General features: G+C 37.4%; 1 protein-coding gene across 12 annotated transcripts in view, besides 1 other annotated feature; it reads left to right on the top strand.

Moving 5' to 3' along the window:
• The window catches only part of AKT3 (AKT serine/threonine kinase 3), a 362,847-nt gene that overhangs the window by 89,889 nt on the left and 251,001 nt on the right, over positions 1–21,957 (top strand). For 2 of the 12 annotated variants that reach the window (XM_047417359.1, XM_047424332.1), the window contains exons 3-4: positions 19,148–19,233; positions 19,384–21,668. The exons of 7 other annotated variants lie outside the window; for them this stretch is intronic. The gene's annotated coding sequence lies outside the window, so the exon portion shown is untranslated. The remainder of the gene's footprint in view (positions 1–19,147; positions 19,234–19,383; positions 21,669–21,957) is intronic. 3 more of the 12 variants (XM_047422391.1, XM_047419186.1, XM_047420641.1) reach the window with 3 other exon arrangements.
• Positions 20,365–20,866: an enhancer, noted in NCBI's record as "NANOG hESC enhancer chr1:243903627-243904128 (GRCh37/hg19 assembly coordinates)". NCBI's record gives its function as "activates a minimal SCP1, AML or CMV promoter by ChIP-STARR-seq in primed H9 embryonic stem cells {active_cell/tissue: H9 hESC(primed)}" and the evidence as "EXISTENCE:reporter gene assay evidence [ECO:0000049][PMID:30033119]".

The raw sequence follows: 21,957 nt of genomic DNA, 5'->3' as shown, positions 1-21,957 counted from the left end.
AAATGTAGTTGTTTCATTTACACTCTGTGTCTGATACTTTCAGTATTTGAAGTCCCTGCTCTGGTGTCTTGGCTTATTAGATGCTGGTTATAAATACTGGCTGTGCTGGTTATTATTCATGTTAGTTATGTTACATAAAGGGGCCACAGATACTGACCCATTGCTCTAGGTGAAATACAGGGCTGGGTTCTTGCAAGTCTCTGGTCACGTCTTCATCAGCTGATCAATTACATAACCTGGTTTTATGTGTGTTTCTGTTTGAGGACATCTTATTTAATATTATTTATTAATTAACATTGAACTCATGGCCATGAACACTATAACTCATGCCTGAATGAAGCTTATTTAAACAAACATTTATTCTCCATAAGGCATATCATAGCCTTCTTTTGCTGAGAAACACTAGGTGAGACTTCAACACTATACATGAGGGCCATTAAACTGAAATCACCAACAGGAAGCACAAAAATGTGAAAAACATGGCACTAAATACTGTGAAAAGGACATTGTTTGTAATAGGAGAGCTGAAGGAAGAAGGCTGAGTGACACCTTGTTCAGCCTCATGTGAGAACATGGGCATCAGTTTATTCAAATTTTTTTGCTGCTCTATGCCTGCAAATGACCCCTAAAGCACCCAGATTTTTTATCACAAATAATTTTAGGTGAGTAGGTGAATTTGCAAATACAGAATCCATGAATAATGAAGATTAAATATGTTAGCTGGGCATAGTATTTGAAAATTATTTGTAGAAATATGAAGCCTTGGGTTGGGCATGGTGGCTCCCATGGTAATCCCAGCACTTTGGGAGGCTGAAGCTGGAGGATCACTTGAGACTAGGAGTTCAAGACTAGCCTGGGCAACATAGCAATATCCTGTCTCCATGACAAAAAAAAAAAAAAAAAAAAAAGCCAGATATAGAGGTACATGCCTGTAGTCCCAGCTATTTGAGAGGCTGAGATAGGAGGATGCTTGAGCCCAGGAGGTTGAGGCTGCAGTGGGCAAAGGCCACACCACCGTACTCCTGTCTGGGCGACAGAGTGAGACCCTGTCTCTAAAAAGACAAAATGAAGCCTTGAGTAAAGTTATCTTCATTTAATATCTGCTGGATGCCTTGGATAGCAATCTAGGAGTAGCCTAACCCAAGTTTAAAGCCTAAAGTTTCCTGGTCCACTCAGGTGACATGAATCTAGGGTGCAGATCTGTGCAAGATTTAGTTTATTTTTTGGTTCCCCATTGACATTAACGATCAGCCATTTGTGATTTCAGCTTAATGTGGCAATTGACTTATCAGAGTCCTAATTTTGTCTTACATTTTAAATTGTTCTCAGTGGAGTATTCATCTGAATTATTCAATCTGATATTTACAGAAGCAGAACCTTCCTTTTATCCTTCTTAATTTTAATTTCTCCTGCCTTGTGATTTTCGTATTACCATCTCCTCTTTTTCCTTCTTCTTTCCTAGGTTTGTGAAGCATTTACTACAGTTGTTATAAGATTAAATAACTGTTCTCATTTAAGTACATTTCTTAAACTTACACTAAGATGTGACCTTCAGATTGCTTTAATAATGTAAGAAATAAGTTCATTTTAAAAAGAAATCTGGATGTTGGAACAAGACCTTGAATTTTTATTTTTTTTTTCTTTTTAATTCATAATATTATTCATTACCCATCATGTTATTTTGGGAAGGTATAGCATAAAATATGATTTAGTAATTTAGCTTTCACCTAAGTTTTTATTGTACTTTATGATATAGGACTGGCTGTCATGAAAAAGTTAAATTTGATGGACATTCTCTCATCAAATTTGTCCTTGTATTATTTTATTTTATTTTTAATTTAATTTAATTTAATTTAATTTTATTTTTTGGTGAGACAGGGTTTTACTCTGTTGCTCAGGCTGGAGTGCAGTGCAGTGGTCCGATCATAGCTCACTGCAGCCTCGACCTCCTGGGCTCAAGCTCTCCTCCCACCTCAGTTTCCTGAGTATCTGGGACTACTGGTGCACACCACCACGCCCAGCTAATTTTTGTAGTTTTTTATAGAGACGAGGTTTTGGCATTTTGCCCAGGCTGGTCTTGAACTCCTGGACCCAAGTGATCCTCCTGCCTTGGCCTCCCAAAGTGCTGGGATTACAGGCATGAGCCACCTCCCTTTATTCTGTTTTTCAGGGAGCAGCCCCACTGATCCTACTTAACTTAAGTCAGAATGATTTGGCTCTTCTGCTCAGAAACCTCCTGTAGCGTCCCATATCAGTAAAAGCCGAAAGTCCTTTCAGGAATCTATAGGACTCTAGATGAGGTGTCCCCAACCCCCAGCCTGTGGACAAGTACTGGTCCCTGACCTGTTAGGACCTGGGACACACAGCAAGAGGTGAGCGAGCATTACCACCTAAGCTCCGCCTCCTGTCAGATCAGATGCGAGGTTAGATTCTCATAGGAGTGCGAACCCTATTGTGAACTCTGCATGCGAGGGATCTAGGTTGCACGCTCCTTACTAACTCTAACTAATGAATCTAATGAAATCTAATGCCTGATGATCTGAGTGGAACAGTTTCAGCCCGACACCTTCTCCCCCTACCTCTTCCAAGGTCTATGGAAAAATTGTCTTCCATGAAACTGGTCCCTGGTGCCAGAAAGGTTGGGGACTGCTGCTCTAGATGATCTGGCTCCTCATTACCTCTCTGATCTCAGTTTCTGCTACTTCCTGCTTCATGCTCTTATTGCAGCTTTTTTGTCTTCCTGGAACATGTCAGGCATTTTCCATCTTAAAGCCTTGCTATTCCCTATGTCAAGAAAACTCTTTCCCACAGGTATCTATATCGAGCTTCCTCACATCGTTTTAATTTTCCTTAAAAGTTGCCGTCTCAATGAGACTTCCCTTGGTTACTTTAGTCTTCCCCAAAGTATTATATTCCCTCCTTTGCTATATTTTTCTCCTAGCATTTTTCGTACTATATAACCTTTTTTCTCCCCCATGGAAATATAAACTCCGTGAAAGCAGTGATTTTTGTCTACCATCCTCCCAGTGCCTGTCAGAGAGTCTGGCACTTAATATTTGTCAAGTGAATAACAAATGCATGAAATTTATTACCATAACCTATTTAAGAGCTTTAAGTGTTAATTAGATAGCTGGGTGTGGTGGCTCATGCCCGTGATCCCAGCACTTTGGGAGGCCGAGGCGGGTGGATCACCTGAGGTCAGGAGTTAGAAAACAGTCTGGCCAACATGGCGAAACTCCGTCTCTACTGAAAATACAAAAAAATTAGCTGGATGTGGTGGCGTGTACCTGTAGTCCCAGCTACTCGGGAGGCTGAAGCACCAGAATCGCTTGAACCTGAGAGGCGGAGGTTGCAGTGAGCCGAGATTGCGCCACTATACTTCAGCCTGGGTGAAAGAGCAAGATTCCATATGAAAAAAAAAAAAGTATTAATTAGATAAATCTGTATCAAAAAGTAAGTAGAGACTGCAAGTGTAAGAACTTTGACATTGCATTTATTTTTATTTTGAAATAATTTCAAACTTAAAGAAAAGTTGTAAGAATAATGCTTTTTCTTCTTTATCTTTTTTTCTGAGATGGAGTTTCGCTCTTTGCTGCCTGGGCTGGAGTGCAGTGGCACGATCTTGGCTCACTGCAGCCTCCGCCTCCCGGGTTCAAGCGATTCTCCTGTCTCAGCCTCCTGAGTAGCAGGGATTACAGGCACCTGATACCACGCCCAGCTAATTTTTGTATTTTTAGTAGAGATGGGGTTTCACCATGTTGGCCAGGCTGGTCTTGAAGTCCTGACCTCAGGTGATCCACCCGCCTCAGCCTCCCAAAGTGCTGGGTTTACAGGCATGAGCCAGTGCACTGAGCACATAATGCTTTTTCTAATGAACCATTTGAGAGTGAGATGCTCCTTTACTGTTGATTACTTTGGTGCATTTTTGTAGCATTGACATGCTCTTATGTAAAAAGAGTATAACTATTAAAGCAAGATATTAATAGTGATATATCAATCACTACCATCTGATCATCAGACCCCATTCAGATTTTGCCAATTCTTTCGATAATGTCTTTCATTGCAAAATTCTAACCCAGGATCTGTGCATTTGATTGTCAGGGCTCTTTACTCTCTTCATGTGGAATGGCTTCATAGTCTTTCCTTTTATGGCTTTTATGCTTTTAAAGATTACATGCCAGTTATTTTGTAGAGCATCCCATAATTAGAGTTTGTCTAATGTTTCTTCCTGATTAGATGTAGGTTATACATTTTTGGCAGCAATGTCACAAAAGTGATGTTTTGTTCTTATTGTATTCTGAATTGATACTCAATTTTGGTTTATTCCATTATTACTGATGTTAACTTTGATCACCTGAAGGTAGTGACTACTAGTTTTCTCCACTGTAGAGGTACTCTTTTGTCCTTTGTTATTATTTTCTAAGGAGGTAATTTGAGACCATGTAAATATTATGTTTCTCTTTGACTCATTAGTTTTAGCATTTATTGATGTTTCTTGCCTAACTTAGTTGTGACTAAGATGAATGTCAAGTGGTGACTTTCTAATTTGTTGTTTCTTCAACATTCATTAGTTGGGATTCTCTTATAAGGAAACTCTCCATTCATAGATTCATTATTTATTTTTATCAATATGGGCTCATGGATTCTTGTTTTATTCAACAAATGAGTCATAGTGTTTTCGTATTATGTATTTTGATATCCAGATTGTCTCAGATGTGGCCAGCGGGATTCCCTTCAAACTTCTGTGCCCTTTAACATGTCCCCATCATTCTCTGAGCACCTTCTTACTCTCTGGCACAGTAAGATGGTCCCAGCTCCGCTTGTGATATCCCTGCTTCAGCCCTGGAATCAGCAGTTTTCCAGAGACTCTTGATTCTTTTTTGTGTGGAGAATGATATTTAGAACCCTAAATCTGGGTATCAATTGTGTTCCCTGTATTGAGTGTCACTGTTGTCAAGCTCTTTCATTAAAAATAAAATTAGGAAATAATTGTATGACATACTCACTTATTCTTACGATTTCTGCATCTGTATATTAAAAACTGAATTTGTATTGACATTTCAATTTCTATCTCACACCAAAGAGTCCATTCTAGCTTCATCCTTTTTATATTTGTAACTTCCAGTGAGAAACAGGGGTTCAGTTATCTACAATATATGACTTATATGGTTCATCTTCTGTATATAACCAATCTCTCAATCATGCTGGCCACTACTTCTTGTGGTCACTTCCTTGATTGGGCTTGACCCTTTTCTCCTAGCTTCCCCCTACAGTACCAGCAGATTCTTACTTCCTTTGGCCATGCCTAAATACTTAAGAAAAGAAAGGCCTTCACATTTTAATGCATACTTTGGGGATTCCCATATCCCACCAAAGCTTATGCTTTGATCTTTAGGTGGAATTGCTTTATGATAAAAGGGTTCTTTTACTGTTCATTTTGGATGATGTGGATGAGTCTTAGAGTTTTATTCTGGTCTTTACAAATATGATTTGCTATTTTCTAAACTTATCTAATGACTAACTTAAGGCTTGTTATGATAAGATTATAAGAAAACACTTTGGGGAATCTTGAGAGTTTTCTTTGTAATTATAATTTATAATTCTGTAACATAGAGAACATGATTAACATGAAGCTCTAAATGTATCCAATAGTTTTGCTTTCTTATCAGTGAATCTATCAGTATACTAGTAGTAACTGGAGAATTTCAAAGATATGCTTACACTTTAAACCCTCAATTTCCAGTGCTTCAGGTGGGTTTGCACATATGACAAGACAGGCAAGGAGTAAGAAGGAGCCAGTATAAGAATTAAAAAGGAGACCGGGCACGGCGACTTATGCCTGTAATCCTAGCACTTTGGTGGCCGAGGCGGGCAGATCACTTGGGCTCAGGAGTTCGAGACCACCCTGGGCAACATGGCTAAACCCTGTCTCTACTAAAAAAAAAAAAAAAAAAATTAACCAGGCGTGGTGTCGCCCGCCTGTAATCCCCACTGCTCTGGAGGCTGAGGCATGAGAATTGCTTGAACCCAGGAGGCGGAGGTGGCAGTGAGCCAAGATTGTGCCACTGCACTCCAGCCTGGGGGACACAGCGAGACTCTGTCTCCAAAAAAACCAATAATAATTAAAAAGGACTTGAGTGATACATTTATTAATTTGGCAAATATTTATTGATGATTTCCTACATATCAAGCTGCTCTGCTGGAAGACTGTAAGTCAAAATAGGGTTCTTGACTTCATGGAATGGTTTCCTCACTTCAGCATTTTTGAACCCGATCATTCTTCCTCGTCATAGCAGGCTGTCCTGTGCGCTATAAGATGATTAGCAGCATCCCTGGCTTCTGCCCGTGAGGTCAGCTGTCTCCAGCCTTCTTGGCACCGGGGGCTGCTTTCATGGAACACAGTTTTTCTGTGAACCTGGGTGGTGTGTGGGAGGGGGGACGGTTTTGGGATGAAACTGTTGCACTTCAGACCATCAGGTATTAGTTAGATTCTCAAAGGACCATGCAACCTAGATCCCTCGCATGCACAGTTCACAATAGGGTTCGCACTCCTGTGAGAATCTGTTGCCACAGCTGATCTGATAGGAGGTGGAGCTCAGGTGGTAATGCTCGCTCACCTGCTGCTCACCTCTTGCTGCGTGGCCTGGTTCCTAACAGCCACCATCCGCGGCCCAGGGGTGGGGACCCTGCACTTGGTAACAGCACCTCCTATCTCTCCATCCCTCAGCACATTGGCAGTAACCAAGAATGTCTCTATGTGTTGCCAAATGTCCAGTGAGGGTGGGGAGCACATCACTACTCCTGGTTTTGAGTACCACTGCTCACAGTAAAATCAAATGCAGATACAGGCATTCTACAGCTAATCATTCAGTGTAATTATCAACTGTGGTAAATGCTAATTATGGAAAGTACAGAGGGCCATGAGACTGTAACCAAGAAAATAATGACTCCATAATAAATTTGGAGTTCAGTCAAACAAATCAAAGTTTCCCTTGAGTGTATAGTAGGTATTTGATGTCAGAAAAGAAACTTAAGACATGGTCTTTTACTTTAAGGATAAGCTGGCTGTGTATCTTCCAAACCAGTACCCTGTTGAGAGTGAAAGCGTGCTCTATAATAAGGAAACTGGGAAAATAAATAGAGATGAGGCAAATTGTACATAATCTACTTCCAGGCTTTCATTATCTACCCAGAGAATAAGACCAGTATATGAAACACACAGAGAATAATTCAAGACAGTATATACATTAAGCGCTAACCTATGTCACATTATTAGAAGAGAGGGTTCATTGTTACTTCTCCATCTTTGCTTTATAGAAGGCTTCATGGGAAAAGATGGGATTCTAGCCCTTCAATTTAGTTCTGGAGGTTTGCCATAAAATATCTCAATGTTCCTATTCAGTTATTTTACACTCTACTACCTAAGCCCCTAACCTGTTCAAGAGTTGTGTTTGACATAGCAGACAATAGAGAACAACTGGAGAGTCTTGATGAGGAATATATTATGATGAAATGGTTACAACTCCTAGAAGAAACATTCATTTCTCTACCAACCTTGATCAGCATTGAGGTACAAAAGAACAGTATTATACAACTATCAGATGTACATACTGAAAGGACATTTCTTTCTTAAACCAAATTCTAGAAGTTTTTTATTGAAAACAGATTTCCTAGGGTCATTTGTGTGTATATATATCTAAGGGGACATTGTTGGCTTGTTTCTCTTTCAATTTTTAGGTCAATTTTGAAGATACTAGATTTTGAGAAACTATGTTTAGGGGAAAGGGGAAGAAACTGTAGGAAAGTGAAAAATCGTACGCTTTTAGGTTAGTGCTAATCTGCTTACGTAGGAACTTTCTGCATCCAAATACCTTGCTTTATATTCCCTAGCTTTCTTTTTAAAATGTTGCTTTTACTTTAATTTTTTACACTGCTTAAGACCCCATAGATTATACATTTATTTAAGTTCATAGTCATGGAACTTAATTACTTTTAAAAAGGTTTAGGCATGTTCTTTCACTTACTCCTTAGAAGCAGTTCGCATTCTTTGTGTTGCCTGTGAAATCGGATGGTGATATAGGGCTTAAATTTTGAAATATGGGACATTTGGAGAACTTAAGGCAAATCAAAATGGCATAACATGATGGAGGAAGCATGAAGACCTTGTGACTGGTAGAAACAACAAGAGGATGTAGGAAAAGACTATGTATTGGGAAAGGGGGTAGAAACTATGCCAAAATTCCATTTGCCCACTTCAGATGTCTGCTTGGGACGAAGTCTGTGCCTGGGAAAAGGGATGAAAACTTTAACTTCCTTTCCCCCCACACTTTCATCCCAAGAGCCTAGAATTAGAGCTGATTTAATGGTACTAACTAGTACTGTTAAACTAACTAGTACTGTTAATAGACCTTTATGACAGCATCCTCAGAGTTAACTATTTATATAATTGTTCTCTGGAGCAAAGCATTCAGAGTTCCCAGAAGCTACAGTGAATTTCACACCACTTATAAACCAAGGGACTACCTGCAAAGTGTTTCTGTTATTTTAAAATCTAAAGTCTATTTGAATTTGAAAAAATAAAATGAAAAGTTGAAAATACCAAATCTAAGACTTGTGTGTAATTGAAATGAGGTTGTTTTAGAAAATTAAATTTGGCAAGTGATTAATGCTTAATAAGGAGTAATTGTTTTATCTATTTTAGGGAAAAATTAATTTAACAAACCTATTATTATGTGAAATTTAGGTAATGAACATGGGCAGTACATAATTTCCGTAACATTTATAGCATCGACCACAAAAAGGCTGAATTAGTGTCATCAAATACAAAGAATGTTCATTTCAGAATCAAAGCTGTTCGGAAAGCAGTGCTCATGGTTACTATAATTAATTCAACATTTCAGGACTATTTAAAATTGTTATGTCATATCACTTTAGTAGATATACCTTTCAGATGCATATATGCCTGATTTTGGATAAGTGTATTTTTTGTACTTTTCAGTTTAAAAATTTTTTTCTTAGTTAAAAATGTTCTCTCATTTAATGATTTTTGGTTTTGTATCAAAAGCAAAGAAACTTTCAGTTATCTCTTAAATAATAAAACAGAGGTCGCCCAACCTGCACTGTTTTGGACCCTGTATACAGCATTAACCCAGCTCAACAGCTGGCTGTGATTGGCTAGCCAATCAGAGTACCAATTCTGTAGTGTCCTCCACCTTTCCCTGAAGCTAGTAGAGTTTTGGTTGAGTGGGGTATAAATGTGAATAGCAGATTAGCTAATTAAAATGGTCCTAGATAGTTGTAGGCTCCAGTGCTGAAGTTCCTGGAGGATAATCCAACCTCCCTAAACTCTCTTGATACCGAAGAACTCACCTGGAATAGCTACAGCCTACTTTTCTGTCCCCCTCCCCACCTTCCCTGCAAGCTCTCTTCCCCTGTGGGCTGGGTCCTGTTTCAGCTCTTCCATGCATGTCTCAGGAACTGTTCCTGTAGACAAAGGTCCATTCAGCACTAGAATGCTTTTTCCAGGCTGCATTTCTAAATCTGAGTCCCTGTGTATCTTCCAGATCAAAGTGCCCCTCTCCCCACAACAATGGACTAGATTTGCCAGGGCCTCATAGCAGAATATCCTGTCTGACTCTCTCTTCACTAGACTAAGGAGAAAAAATAACAAAACAAAAATGAAGAATTTATTTTAAAAGATGAATATAGCATTCCCCCCTCCCCTAAAAAGAAATGAGCAACTATTACTTACACAAAATGTAGATACAACTGTATTCCTTGTAGGATTACTTATTAAAGCTTTCTTGATACGTAAATCTAAATCCAAGCGTTTGGCATGAATGTCTGCTTCATTTATCATTGCCTTGGATATGCTTTAAAGAGTCTGTCACAGCTGGTCTACAAATGGATTTTTGCACACACCAAAACTTGCCTTGTGGCAAATGTTTTATAAAAGTTGTATAGAGGCTTCAAATATTGTTCTTCATGATTCTTTGCTGCTAATTTTCCAGAAGTCCTTCTCTTTCAGAGTCTTTTTTTTTTTGAGAAGCATTTAAGAAAATTATGTTGAGTTTGGTGTAAATTAGAGTTGTGACAAATTATAGAGCAGTTTTCACAAGTAAAATTGGGCCAGTTAGCTCAGAATTAGAAAATTAATCTTTTTCCAAAGCATTATCTCACTTTCTGTGTGTTTGTAGTGTTTATAGACTGATAGTATCAGTACCAACAGCTAAAACAAAAGTCAGTTTTTTTTCTTTTAAAAAACATTATTTCTTTTTAATGAACAGTTATTGAAGTATTGGCCTTAATTGGCTAGGTGTGGTGGCTCATACCTGTAATCCCAGCACTTTGGGAGGCCGAGGCGGGCAGATCACCGGAGGTCAGGAGTTTGAGGTCAGCCTGGCCAACACAGTGAAACTCCGTCTCTACTAAAAATACCAAAATTAGCCAGGTGTGATGGCAGGCACCTGTAGTCCCAGCTACTCGAGAAGCTGAAGCAGGAGAATCACTTGAACCCAGGAGGCAGAGTTTGCAGTGAACTGAGATTGTGCCACTGCACTCCAGCCTGGGCGACAAAGGGAGACTCTGTCTCAAAAAAAAAAAAAAAAGATTAGCCTTAATCAACAAGCATTTACTAATAACTTACCGGTAAAGAGTAGTATATTCAGATTTAAAACATTTTGAAGAAATGCCCAGAAGTGGAGGACAAAGGCATTGAGCTTGCTGTCCTTGTAAAATACCGTGTGTGCGTGCGTGCGTGTGTGTGTGTGTGTGTGTGTGTGTATACGTGCATGCATGTGAGAGGGGAGAGAAGGTGGGAGAAGGAGGCATACAGTAGTTGCAAGTTAACATAATAGAGAATTTTTAAAACCTTAGGACACATCTAAAGATGATACAAAATGTATGTTAATGCAAGATAAAATTTGGTTTATTAGGGACAGTGAATTATGATTTGAAATAATTGGGGCAAATTTAACCAAGTAGGGTTAAAGCATTACTTTGAAGGAAAGGAGGGTATTAAGCAGTACATAATTTTGAGCTAAATTCATAGGCAAATCAATTTCTATTTAGAAACTGAAGCACTTTCTTTATAAAAGCATGACTTCGCCTCTTTATTTGCTCAAGTATATATGAGGCCATATTGCATTTAGCCTATATGAGAAGGAGAAGAAAGCAGAGAAGGAGTTATGAGGGAGATTGGAAGAGAATAAAAAGATCACTTCACTTTAGATGCCAAGCAAGAGCAATTATTACAGCATTATTTCAGGATTCAAGGACAACAAGGCCTGTAAAGAGGCCACTGATAACCTCATTGGTGACTTTGTGGAGATCAGTAGTAGTGATGGTAAATAGCAAATTGGCAGGAGTTGAAGAGTGAATGGATACTGAAGAAATGGAGACAGTAATCATAGATTTTTCTTCTGAGTTATTTTTTGATAAAAGGAAAGAAAATAGATTACAGCAAGCCAAAGAAAGATGATTTTTGGATGGGATGTTTTGAGCATATTCATAGGTTGAAGGAATGGAGTCAAAATACAGAGGGAAATTCAGAAAGATCCAAGAGAGAGATTCATCATTTGACATAATCAAATCTTAGATGACAGTAAAGATGGGACACAAGAAAGAGGGGTTAGTTCTTGAAAACTAGAATGTATATGACTTCCTTTGTTATAAGTAAAGGGGGTATTCTGAATGTTTGAAGTAGAGAGCTGGGAAGTTGAAGTTATTCACGTTTAATGGTTTCCCTGCTTTCTAGGAAGTAGGGATATTATAAAATGAGAAAGATGGGGTTGGGGGAGAGGGGTTTGAAGAGGGATAAAGAAGATGTGGCATGATTCCTTTAGAAAACAATCATGATCAAGTCAACTAGAGATGAATGAAATAATTTCCCAGGTTTGCATGAATTATGATAGATTTATTTGGTTTAGTTTCGTGATTTAGTATAGCAGTACTCAGAAGAGTTCCACATAAAATGGATTATATCATATACCTAGGATGGAGACTGATAAGATGTGTATAATGAAAGAAAAAGTGGATTAGAAAAATATAGAATGATCAGGGATTCCATAGAATGAGACAAGTAGAAGGGAACTTTTCAACTGAGAAAATAGGGAGAGAATGAAGGACTAGAAGTGGTAAGGAAAAGGAAGGAGGAAGTTCAGTAGAACTGAGGAAATTATAATATTAGCTTAAAATATTAAAGTATTCATGCAACAGTGTGTGAGGGCCTGCCATATGCTAGGTACTGTTCATTTGTATTTACAACAGATGAAGTACCAAGTAGTACTTCAATGGAGTTGCCACTAGATGTCACTCTGATTCGTATGGTAAGGCTAACCTTGACACGTACTCAAGATTGGGGCTTTGAAAGTCAGACCTGTATAAACAGGCAATTTTTAATAGCCTATGCAGATCAATTATTATCCAGAAATCTTATTCATATAACTAAACTACTTTTGAGAGAATATTCTCATGAGAACAAAACCTCTCAAATTTGAAAACTTCAAGTTATTAATACTGTGTTTGCATTATTGATTTATTTTTATTATCTTAATCACACTAAATAGTATTTCTCAGTGAACTTTAACATTTTCTGAAATTCTACATTAAAGTTTGTGAATTTATTTTCTTTATATTGTTTTATTTACTTATCTGCTGAATTGGTTCTGGTTTTATAGGGACTAATGAATTTTTATAAGCACTAATAAAGCTGCTTCTTTCTAAGTGGTGAAGATTGTGCATGTGAACACCAAAGTTGTGAGTATAGTTTTACACTGTGTGGCCTTCCTATCAACTAGAAGGAAGAACACTGTCTATCCAACTCTTGTTTTTTTTTTTAAGTCCCATTCTTGTTTTCTGTTCAATCAGTATAGCTTTGCCTCTTTATCTTCATGTTGAAATAAAGGGTCATGTTTAGAAAGCTTGTCAGAATTCCTGCCTATCCACAATTTTTTACAACTTGGTTCTTTCAAAACTCTGAACAATTTTGGATAGCTATGCAATATAAATATTAAAACACAAAAAACCAGACACACCAGCAAACCATGTTGATTTCCACTGAATCATATAAACAATACCCAGGCATGCTATATGTTTTAAAAGATATATTTATGTTTGTGTATCTTTTAATTTTTTCTTCATTTGACAGGGGAAAGATGTGAGATTATACAGCATTGCTAGAACCGTTGGGCCTTAGTATAAAACAATTTACAGGTCATTATGGTTGAAAAAGCATAGCATCACATTTTTTGCATGTGCTATGCCTAGGTATATTTCAGTGCTTGCTTCAGACATCGTTTCATTACTGACTCTTACCGATCCTTGTTATTCATTATGGTGTTAAGTAATTTTTAGCCATGTTTGCAAGAAACCTATACTATGTCTTAAGTGAACTGTCTTACATTTATCCCTTTTGATTTTTTTTGTGTTTATGGATAAAGTCAGTTTACAATAAGTTTAATGTGGTTTTCTATGGTAATTCCCAATGTGATACTAAGAGTTTCATTTGCAAAGGTACCTATTTACTAAGCATGTTGTTAGGTGACATTTTGGTCTGTTCATTGAAGATATCTCCCTTTAATCTCTTCATTGTGTCTTGGGAAAGAAGTCATTTTGCTTTGGACAAGTGAACGTGAACATGCTGCATTTACTGGGCTGTACTGGGTAGAATACAAGTACAAGAGAGAAGGTCAGTTACAACTTAGCAGCAATGGCAATGTAATTTTACTTTCCCCAAATTTTGTTGAAGCAGTCATTAAGAATTACACTCTATAATAAAAAAAGCATGAAAATATGATGCAGAAATCTCCGTTAATGAAATTCCTCTTGAAATTATCCTCTAATTCCCTTTTAATTCTCAAATTCACTTTGCCGTATAACTTTCAAAATGAAACTTCTGACATTTTTGTTTGTTCTTGGAAAAAGTGTTCATTTCTTTGCAGTTTTACGGTGAAAATAATATCCTATATTTCTTTTTAGGAATATATTCCTTTGTTGTGCTAGGAACAGTAAGTTTATTTAGATAATAGCCATCTACACTCTCTATCTCTAATCCCCAAAGGCCTTAACCTCCATTAGGAATAAATGTAGATTTTTGTTTGCTTGAAATAGCTTCCTGGGCATGTAAAAACCCCTTTGACATCATTATTTAGGGGCTCCCATCCTCCCAATGGAATCACAGCCTAATACAAAAACTTTGCAGCTGGTGAGCTCCCAAAGCCCCTTTTGATGATTGTTGTTAAACTCAGCATGGCAGCTTGCAGTTGTTCCTTTCCTGTACTGCCCCCCACCCCCCATGTTCATGTTCTTCATGACAATAAGAATTCTCCAGAGGTAAAACACAGGGCTGAAAATTTCTGATGTCTCCTTCATCCTCTGTTTCTTCTCATTCATTTCCATTCTAAGCATATTTATAAAGTTTAGTGGAGATTATCAAGGGAAAGATTCGTTCTCTCTCTGTCTCTAATAAACTAATTTCTTTAAAAACAAACAATTGAATATGAAAGCATTGAATATGCAGAGGTTATGAGACCCCTCATCTTTTCTGTAGAGTATGTTAGTTTCAGGTACATTAGAAATCAGAGGTCCTGGCTGTGACTTAGTTCAAACTTGGAAGTTTCTTATGTCATACTGTGTTCTTTATTGATAAAGTGAGGGGACAAATAACCCAAGCAAGTGGTAATTAAATGATTCATTAACTCAGTGACACACTAATTGACCAGAAATTTTCTCTAAAGTTTTTGTTCTAACTTTAACTGGCTGTATCAAGTATAGGCTTATGTTGGTATTATTTAGGGGAAAAAACATTTATCACTCAAGATAAAGCATGTTTAGCTCATTGAAATGTAAAGACAGAATACATTTTAATAGAACAATTACATATGATATGATTTAGATATTATGAAAATAACAACCATAATTGAGAAAGATCTAAAAAGACCTGGGACTGATAGGCAAGTTAGAAATGGACGTTAAATTATTGAAAAAAACATACGGAGACAAACATGTTAGAAAATAAAGTACTCCCTATGTTTGAGTTTAGTAAAATAAGCATTAAAATAGGGCTAAATGGAAACAGAAACAAAGCAAAGTAAAAAATCATCGAATGAACCTGAAAGATCTTTTTGATTCCACATAGGGAATTTGTTTTTTTGAAGTTTTTGATACCTGCATTAAAGCTGAATTTTAGAGTTAATGCAGATTTTGCTACATTAATTTTTTTGAAGTTCTGAATGCATTGAGTTTTGGAAACTATTTTCAGGATGAATACTACGGGTACTGCAGATGCTCACTTTATATAATTATGTGTCTTGAATTAATTAAATCCAACTTCAAAGGCATGTATCGGAAATTCCTTTGCATAATAAAACCTCCATTCCTAGTGCCAGTGATAAAATGAGCAGCAGAATGGTTTAGCAGGGGTGTCCAGTCTTTTGACTTCCCTGGGACACATTGGAAGAGGAATTGTCTTGGGCCACACGATGAGCTAAAAAAAAATCAAAATAAATCCTATAATGTTTTAAGCTCGTGAATTGTGTTGAGGCGCATTCAAAGCTGTTCTGGGCTGCATGTGGCCTGAGGGTCACAGGTTGGACAAGCTTGGTTTAAAGGGAATAGGGACAAATTCTCATTCCAGAGAGCTGAGTACTGACTAATATCATCTATTACCACATACTTTTGTGACCCTGGGCAAATCACTTTTCCTGTTTTTGTAAAATAAGGAGGATTGACCAAAATCATCTCTAAATCCATACATGTTTTTAGTATGCTCTGATCATTTTAAAATAAATAATTTTGACATCATATCTCGTTTTCTTAAAAATTGATATGCCCAATACTCTTATTTTATTTTTGAGACAGGATCTCCCTCTGTTGCCCAGGCTGGAGTGCAGTGGCATGATCATAGCTCACTGCAACCTCAACCTCCTGGGCTCAAGTAATCCTTCCACCTCAGCCTCTTGAGTAGCTGGGACTGTACAGGTGCACACCACCACGCCGGGCTAATTTTTAAATTTTCCGTAGAGGACGGGCTTACCATATTGCCCAGGCTGGTCTTGAACTCCTGGGCTCAAGTGATCCTCTTGCCTCAGCCTCCCCACCCCAAAAAAATCCTGCTAGGATTACAGGCCTGAGCCACTGCCCCCAGCCTACTTTTATTTTAGAACTGAGAGCTTCAGTAAGATCATAACAGGAAAATTTAAAATCTCCCCCATTACTTGTAAAAGAACATCTTTTTGAGAAATTAAAACAATTTTTTTTTTTTAATGAGCCAAGGACTCATGAATACAGTGATCACAAATGAGATCCCCTCATGGTGATGAGAATAGCCATTTCAGAAATTACCACTGAACATAGTAAAGAATACTGGAACTAATAGTTGGTGGTGTAAAATGTGATCAATCAAGAGAGTCTATTTCTGTTATGTATAATAATTTTTTTTTTTTTTTTTTTTTTGAGACGGAGTCTCGCTCTGTCACCCAGGCTGGAGTGCAGGGGCGCGATCTCGGCTCACTGCAAGCTCCGCCTCCCGGGTTCACGCCATTCTCCTGCCTCAGCCTCCCAAGTAGCTGGGACTACAGGCGCCCGCCACTACGCCCGGCTAATTTTTTGTATTTTTAGTAGAGACGGGGTTTCACCGTTTTAGCCGGGATGGTCTCGATCTCCTGACCTCGTGATCCACCCGCCTCGGCCTCCCAAAGTGCTGGGATTACAGGCGTGAGCCACCGCGCCCGGCCAATAATTTTTTAAGGTAAACTTTTTCTTAAAGTATGAGATACATAAAAGTGAAAGAATCATAAGAATACGGCTCTGTAAATATTCATGAAGTAAGCACACCATGTAACACCTATATTTAAAAAACAATATTACCACTACCTTATAAGCCTTCCCTTCCTCTACCCTTACAGTCACTATGTCCCACCAAGCAAACAGGATGACTTCTACAGCATATATTAGTTTTGCCTGCTTTTGAGTATGAAATCATATGGCGGCTTTTTCAAAATTTTATTTGTGAGATTTATTGATGTTGTTGTTTGTACTAACAGTTCATTCAGGCCCATTGCTGTATTATATTTCCACTGCATGACTAGACCCTAGTTTATCTGTTCTATTTTTGGATTTGTTTTGTTTTTACATTTTGGCTGTATGTCTTTGGGTGTGCATACATACACATTTCTGTTGGCTATGTACCTAGAAGTGGGGCTGCTGGATCATAGAACGTGCATATGTTCAACTTTTGTAGATGCTGCTAGATGCTTTCCTTAAGTGTTTATTCTTTATATTCCAGCAGCAGTTTGTAAGTTTCATTTGTTCTATATCTTCACCAACACTTGGTGATATTGTTGGTAGAGATGGGCCTCTTCCTATGGTTGCTGAGGCTGGTCTTAAACTCCTGGGTGTAAGCAATCCTTCCAAAGTGCTGGGATTACAGGCATGACAGGTGTAGCATCAACCTTGGCCAGTAATGTGGTTTTAATTTGTATTCCCCTGATAACTAATGAAGTAGAACTCTTTTTCATATATTTACTATTCATTTGGAGTACTAAAAAAATTTTATGACACTTGCATTTTAAAATATTAAACTTTCCTATGTTAAGAAGGGCTGTTGTAAATTAGTTATTTTCTAAAACATTTGGCATAATCATTCAGTCTATCTCTGTATTTGATAAGTTGTGAAATTCTTTGAAAATATTTTTTTCCTTAATAAAACTATGTATTTCAAACCATGGAATTGATTTCAAATGCTACCTTCTGAGTGTTATTAAGACTATTTATTCATAGTATTTTTGAAAACAAGACTAGAAAAAATGAAGTGTTTTAAACAAACAGTGGTTTTTCCTTCCAGGGAAGTCTTCTCCAGGAAATTTCTTTGCCAGGATGGTCAAGTCCCTTATATACAAAGTTTTTCTTCCAGGGTAAAATTATTAGGCATTGTAGAGGGTATAATTAAAAGTTGATCTGCCTAATTTTAGGTTTACCGGCCAATTACAACCTTATCATTGAACACAGAGTTTGGAAGATTCTTGAGCAGTATTTTAGAGCTGTTTTTGAGATGGAGACCAACTTTTCTATGTGCTCCTACATTTTCGAGCCTTCCGTGCACTTCCTTTGGATCTATGTGACTAATTTCTGGCCAGTGAATTGGGAGTGAAAATAGTATGTGTCACTTTGGCCTGAGTCAGTTAAGAGCTACCTCCTTCTGACCTCTTCTGTTGCAGTGGTGAACATGTACATGTTCTAAAGTTTATGTAATAAGCTAGTGTTTGTTGTTGCAGTCAATGTTAAGTAACCTAACAGAGTTTCATTTTCGTAAATGGTCTACACATTAAAAAAAAAAAAAGATACCCTGGAGCCCCTGAAGTATTTTTATGCCCATAATTTTTTGTGAGGAGAGTGCTGCTTTTAAAAAAGACTAGGGTTTGGAGAATATTCTTATGAGGAGAAATCGGTTTATGATGGGAAAATGAAAAAGGACAAACGTTTGTTTTATCATTCTACCAAATGAGAAGAAAACTTTCACAAAAAGAAATGTTTAAGGTTTCTGATTATCAGAGTTTTATTTATTTATTGAGATGGAGTCTCGCTCTGTCGCCCAGGCTGGAGTGCAGTGGTGCCGTCTCGACTCACTGCAACCTCCACCTCCTGGGTTCAAGTGATTATCCTGCCTCAGCCTCCCAAGTAGCTGGAATTACAGACACCCAGCACCATGCCCGGCTAATTTTTGTATTTTTAGTAGCGACGGGGTTTCGCCATATTGGCCAGGCTGGTCTTGAACTCCTGACCTTAGGTGATCGCCTGCCTCAGCTTCCCAAAGTGCTGGGATTACAGGTGTGAACCACCATGCCTGACCTCTGAGTATATTTATTATTTACATAAAATCCGATTCTTTTTATAACATTAAAATGATTTTAACTAGTTTTGCTTTTTTAAAAAAATTTTCAATTTAGAAAGGTGGTAACTATCAGAGAGGCATATGACACAGACATAGTGGCCCCTTGGTATCCACAGGGGATTGGTTCTAGGTCCCTTGTGGATACCAAATTCCAAGGATGCTCAAGTCCCTTATATACAATGGTGTAACATTTGCATATATTGTTCTATTGTTATTTTTTACTGTTTTTTTTTTTTTTTTTTAATTTTCTATCTGTAGTTGTTTGAATCTGTGGATGAGAAACTCATGGGTTCAGAATGGCCTATCACAAACTGAGGATTATGGAAAAATACTGTAGTTTACAGGTATTTTTTTGAATACTGTTAATACACAGATTACTCATAGTCTAATTGGAATAAAAATATTGAGAAAAATAAAGTCCTTTTCATGTTTAATTTCTAATTCTTTGCACAAAAGTAATTTTTTGGAAAAGCTGTTTCTTGGTTTCATTTTAGAATTCCCAGCAACCAAAAGTAAGCCTGAGTTTGTACCAAGGTAGGAAGTATTTTATGTTTTATCATGTCTGCTAGTCTTGTTCTATTAAATTACTTAAGCAACTTTTTATTATAGGAAATTTGGAAATGTGAGATGTTTAGCGCAAGGAAATGATCTTAAATGGAACAAAGCTGGTTAAGAAATTGAAATGAATAAAAAGCATGTTATGAAAATATGCAACACTCTCATTGACCTAATTAAAATAGCTTATATAAGATTATTGTTGGACTATGTCTTATAAACTTACAAGGGAAATCTTGATTCCCTCTCTTTAACTCCTTATAGTTATTGCCAAGATTAATATTCTTACATGTATATTTTTACAAATATGTATGATAGAATGGTCACTGTAAAAAAGTTCTATTTTTAAAAACATTGGCATGAGAAAAAGGTGAATGCTTCTTAATAAAGTATTGGAATAATTATTTATTAGTGTTACTGGAAATGGGTGATTCAGTGTCACTTTTTGGGTAATGTGGATTTGTTTTGAGAGAGAAACAGAGAAACAAGGAAACAAAAATCAACAAAGACTAACAAAATTTCTGCCCAGAATACAGGTACGTGCTTGCATGAAACAAAGGTCCTATCATGAAAATACTAAAAGTCTTTGAAGAACTAGGCTGGAGTTTATACTGTTAGTGTTCTTTATTGACGATATATGGAACATACAGTTATATATGTGATGAAGTTAACATTAATGATATAAATTTCCCAGATGTAGGGCTAACACTTCTTCAAAAATCAGATTTCCAGGTATTTCATAGCTTGAACAAATATTTGATGAGACCCCTCCCCTGAAATTTTATACCCTAGAACTTAATAAACATGCCTGGAAATTTTATGTAGATGAAGGATTGGGGTTTCTAGAGGTCATGGCATAAGTCATTCTTTCCTACCTGGCCTTTGTACAATACCAGATACAAAATGAAGAGTAAAGATAGAGGCCAGAACGTACCTACTAATGATAAAAGTCCAAGTGGAGGTCTGAGTTTGAGAGCCAAATGACCTGCTGATTGAATTGCAGAACCAGGCCAACTTTTTCAAGCACTCTTCAGGTAATATAAATAAGACAGTGCCATAGAGCAGGGATCTTTATGGTTTTTGTTGCAATTGTAGCTACTCTGTGATTGTGATGCAAGAAAACAGCCATAGACAACAGGTAAGCTAATGAGTGTTCCAATAAAACTTTATTTAGAAAAATAGGCATCAGCCTTTTGTAGTTTGCTGATCTCTTGCATAGAGGAAAAAGACACATTTGCATTTTCTGCAGCCTACTAGTTTCAACAGGAAGAAAAGGGGCCCAGCAGAATCCTGCATACCAAGGATTTTTCCTCACCAGTTTTTCACCAGATTAAAATACTCCATCTTACCAGAATTAGAGGGAGTAAAGGGAGAGAAAGAAACCTGAAATAATACTAATGAGCTCTCCTTGTAAGAAGGGGGGCAAACGCTTTTCTCACAAGTCCCTTGACACTAGAATTTACTCTGTTACTCAGGTATACTGCCTTTCCAGTGGACTCAAAAGAACCTATAAAACACAAAGTATTACTTTGTACTGCATTTTCCAAACTTGAGAGTCTAAGTGTTTTGGTGCTAATTTTGGCGTAGTTTCTCTCATTTTTTGGTTAGTGATAGTAAAACCATGTAATGAGCTCCCAGGAAGACCCTTCTCTTCCGGCCACATGTGTTGACATGAGGACATGCCTTTGGCCTATTTTGGGCAGCTAAGATTACTCTGTGGATTGATTCATATTTTTTGAGTGCCTACAAAATATGAGGCATTTTGATAAATGCTGGGGATACAATAATGAGCAATAGTGATCCAGTTCTTACCCTCACAAGAGCTTGTGCTGTGTAACAGAAAGGGCTCTAAAAAGAAAAAGTGATTTCTAATTTGAAACCTGAGGGACTAGCAGCACATGCCAAAGGGGACAAAGTTCAGCATGTTCCGGGATTTGGGGAAAGCATTGTTTATCTGGGGAACAGAGTGTAAGGGGAAAATGGAGATAGATAGCTGAGGCTGGAAAAGGAGGAGGGAGCCTAGGTTGCAAAACCTGTGTAAGCACTTGGGTTTTGTCAGATCAGCAGGACGTGGTTGAGGGGCTTTAAAGCCATAAGATGATGTGAATGATCTCTGTTTTTGAATATGTTCAGTCTAGGTTAGAAGAGGCAAAAATTGAAGACCTACATTTGTACTGTTCAACAAAGTAGCCATGGGCCAAAGTGGCTGTTGAGCACTTGAAAGGTAACTAGTGTGATGAGGAGTGAGTTTTACATTTTTGTTAATTTTGATTTAAAAATTTAACTTAAAATTTTAAACAATATGTTTTCCTTTAACTTTAGTATTTTGATTGGACTACATTTCACATAAGTTATTGAAAATTTAGAGTGCGAATTGACCTATATTATAGGTGTAAAATTCACACTGGATTTTGAGTTCAAGATATAAAAAACAAGAATGTAAAATATCTCAATTTTTTCTATGGTTATATGTTGAAATGATCATATTTTGGATATACTTGGTTAAATATATT

Source organism: Homo sapiens, chromosome 1, assembly GCF_000001405.40.
Source record: "Homo sapiens chromosome 1, GRCh38.p14 Primary Assembly".
Lineage (NCBI taxonomy): Eukaryota > Metazoa > Chordata > Mammalia > Primates > Hominidae > Homo > Homo sapiens.
This window is presented reverse-complemented; position numbering and strand designations above follow the sequence as displayed.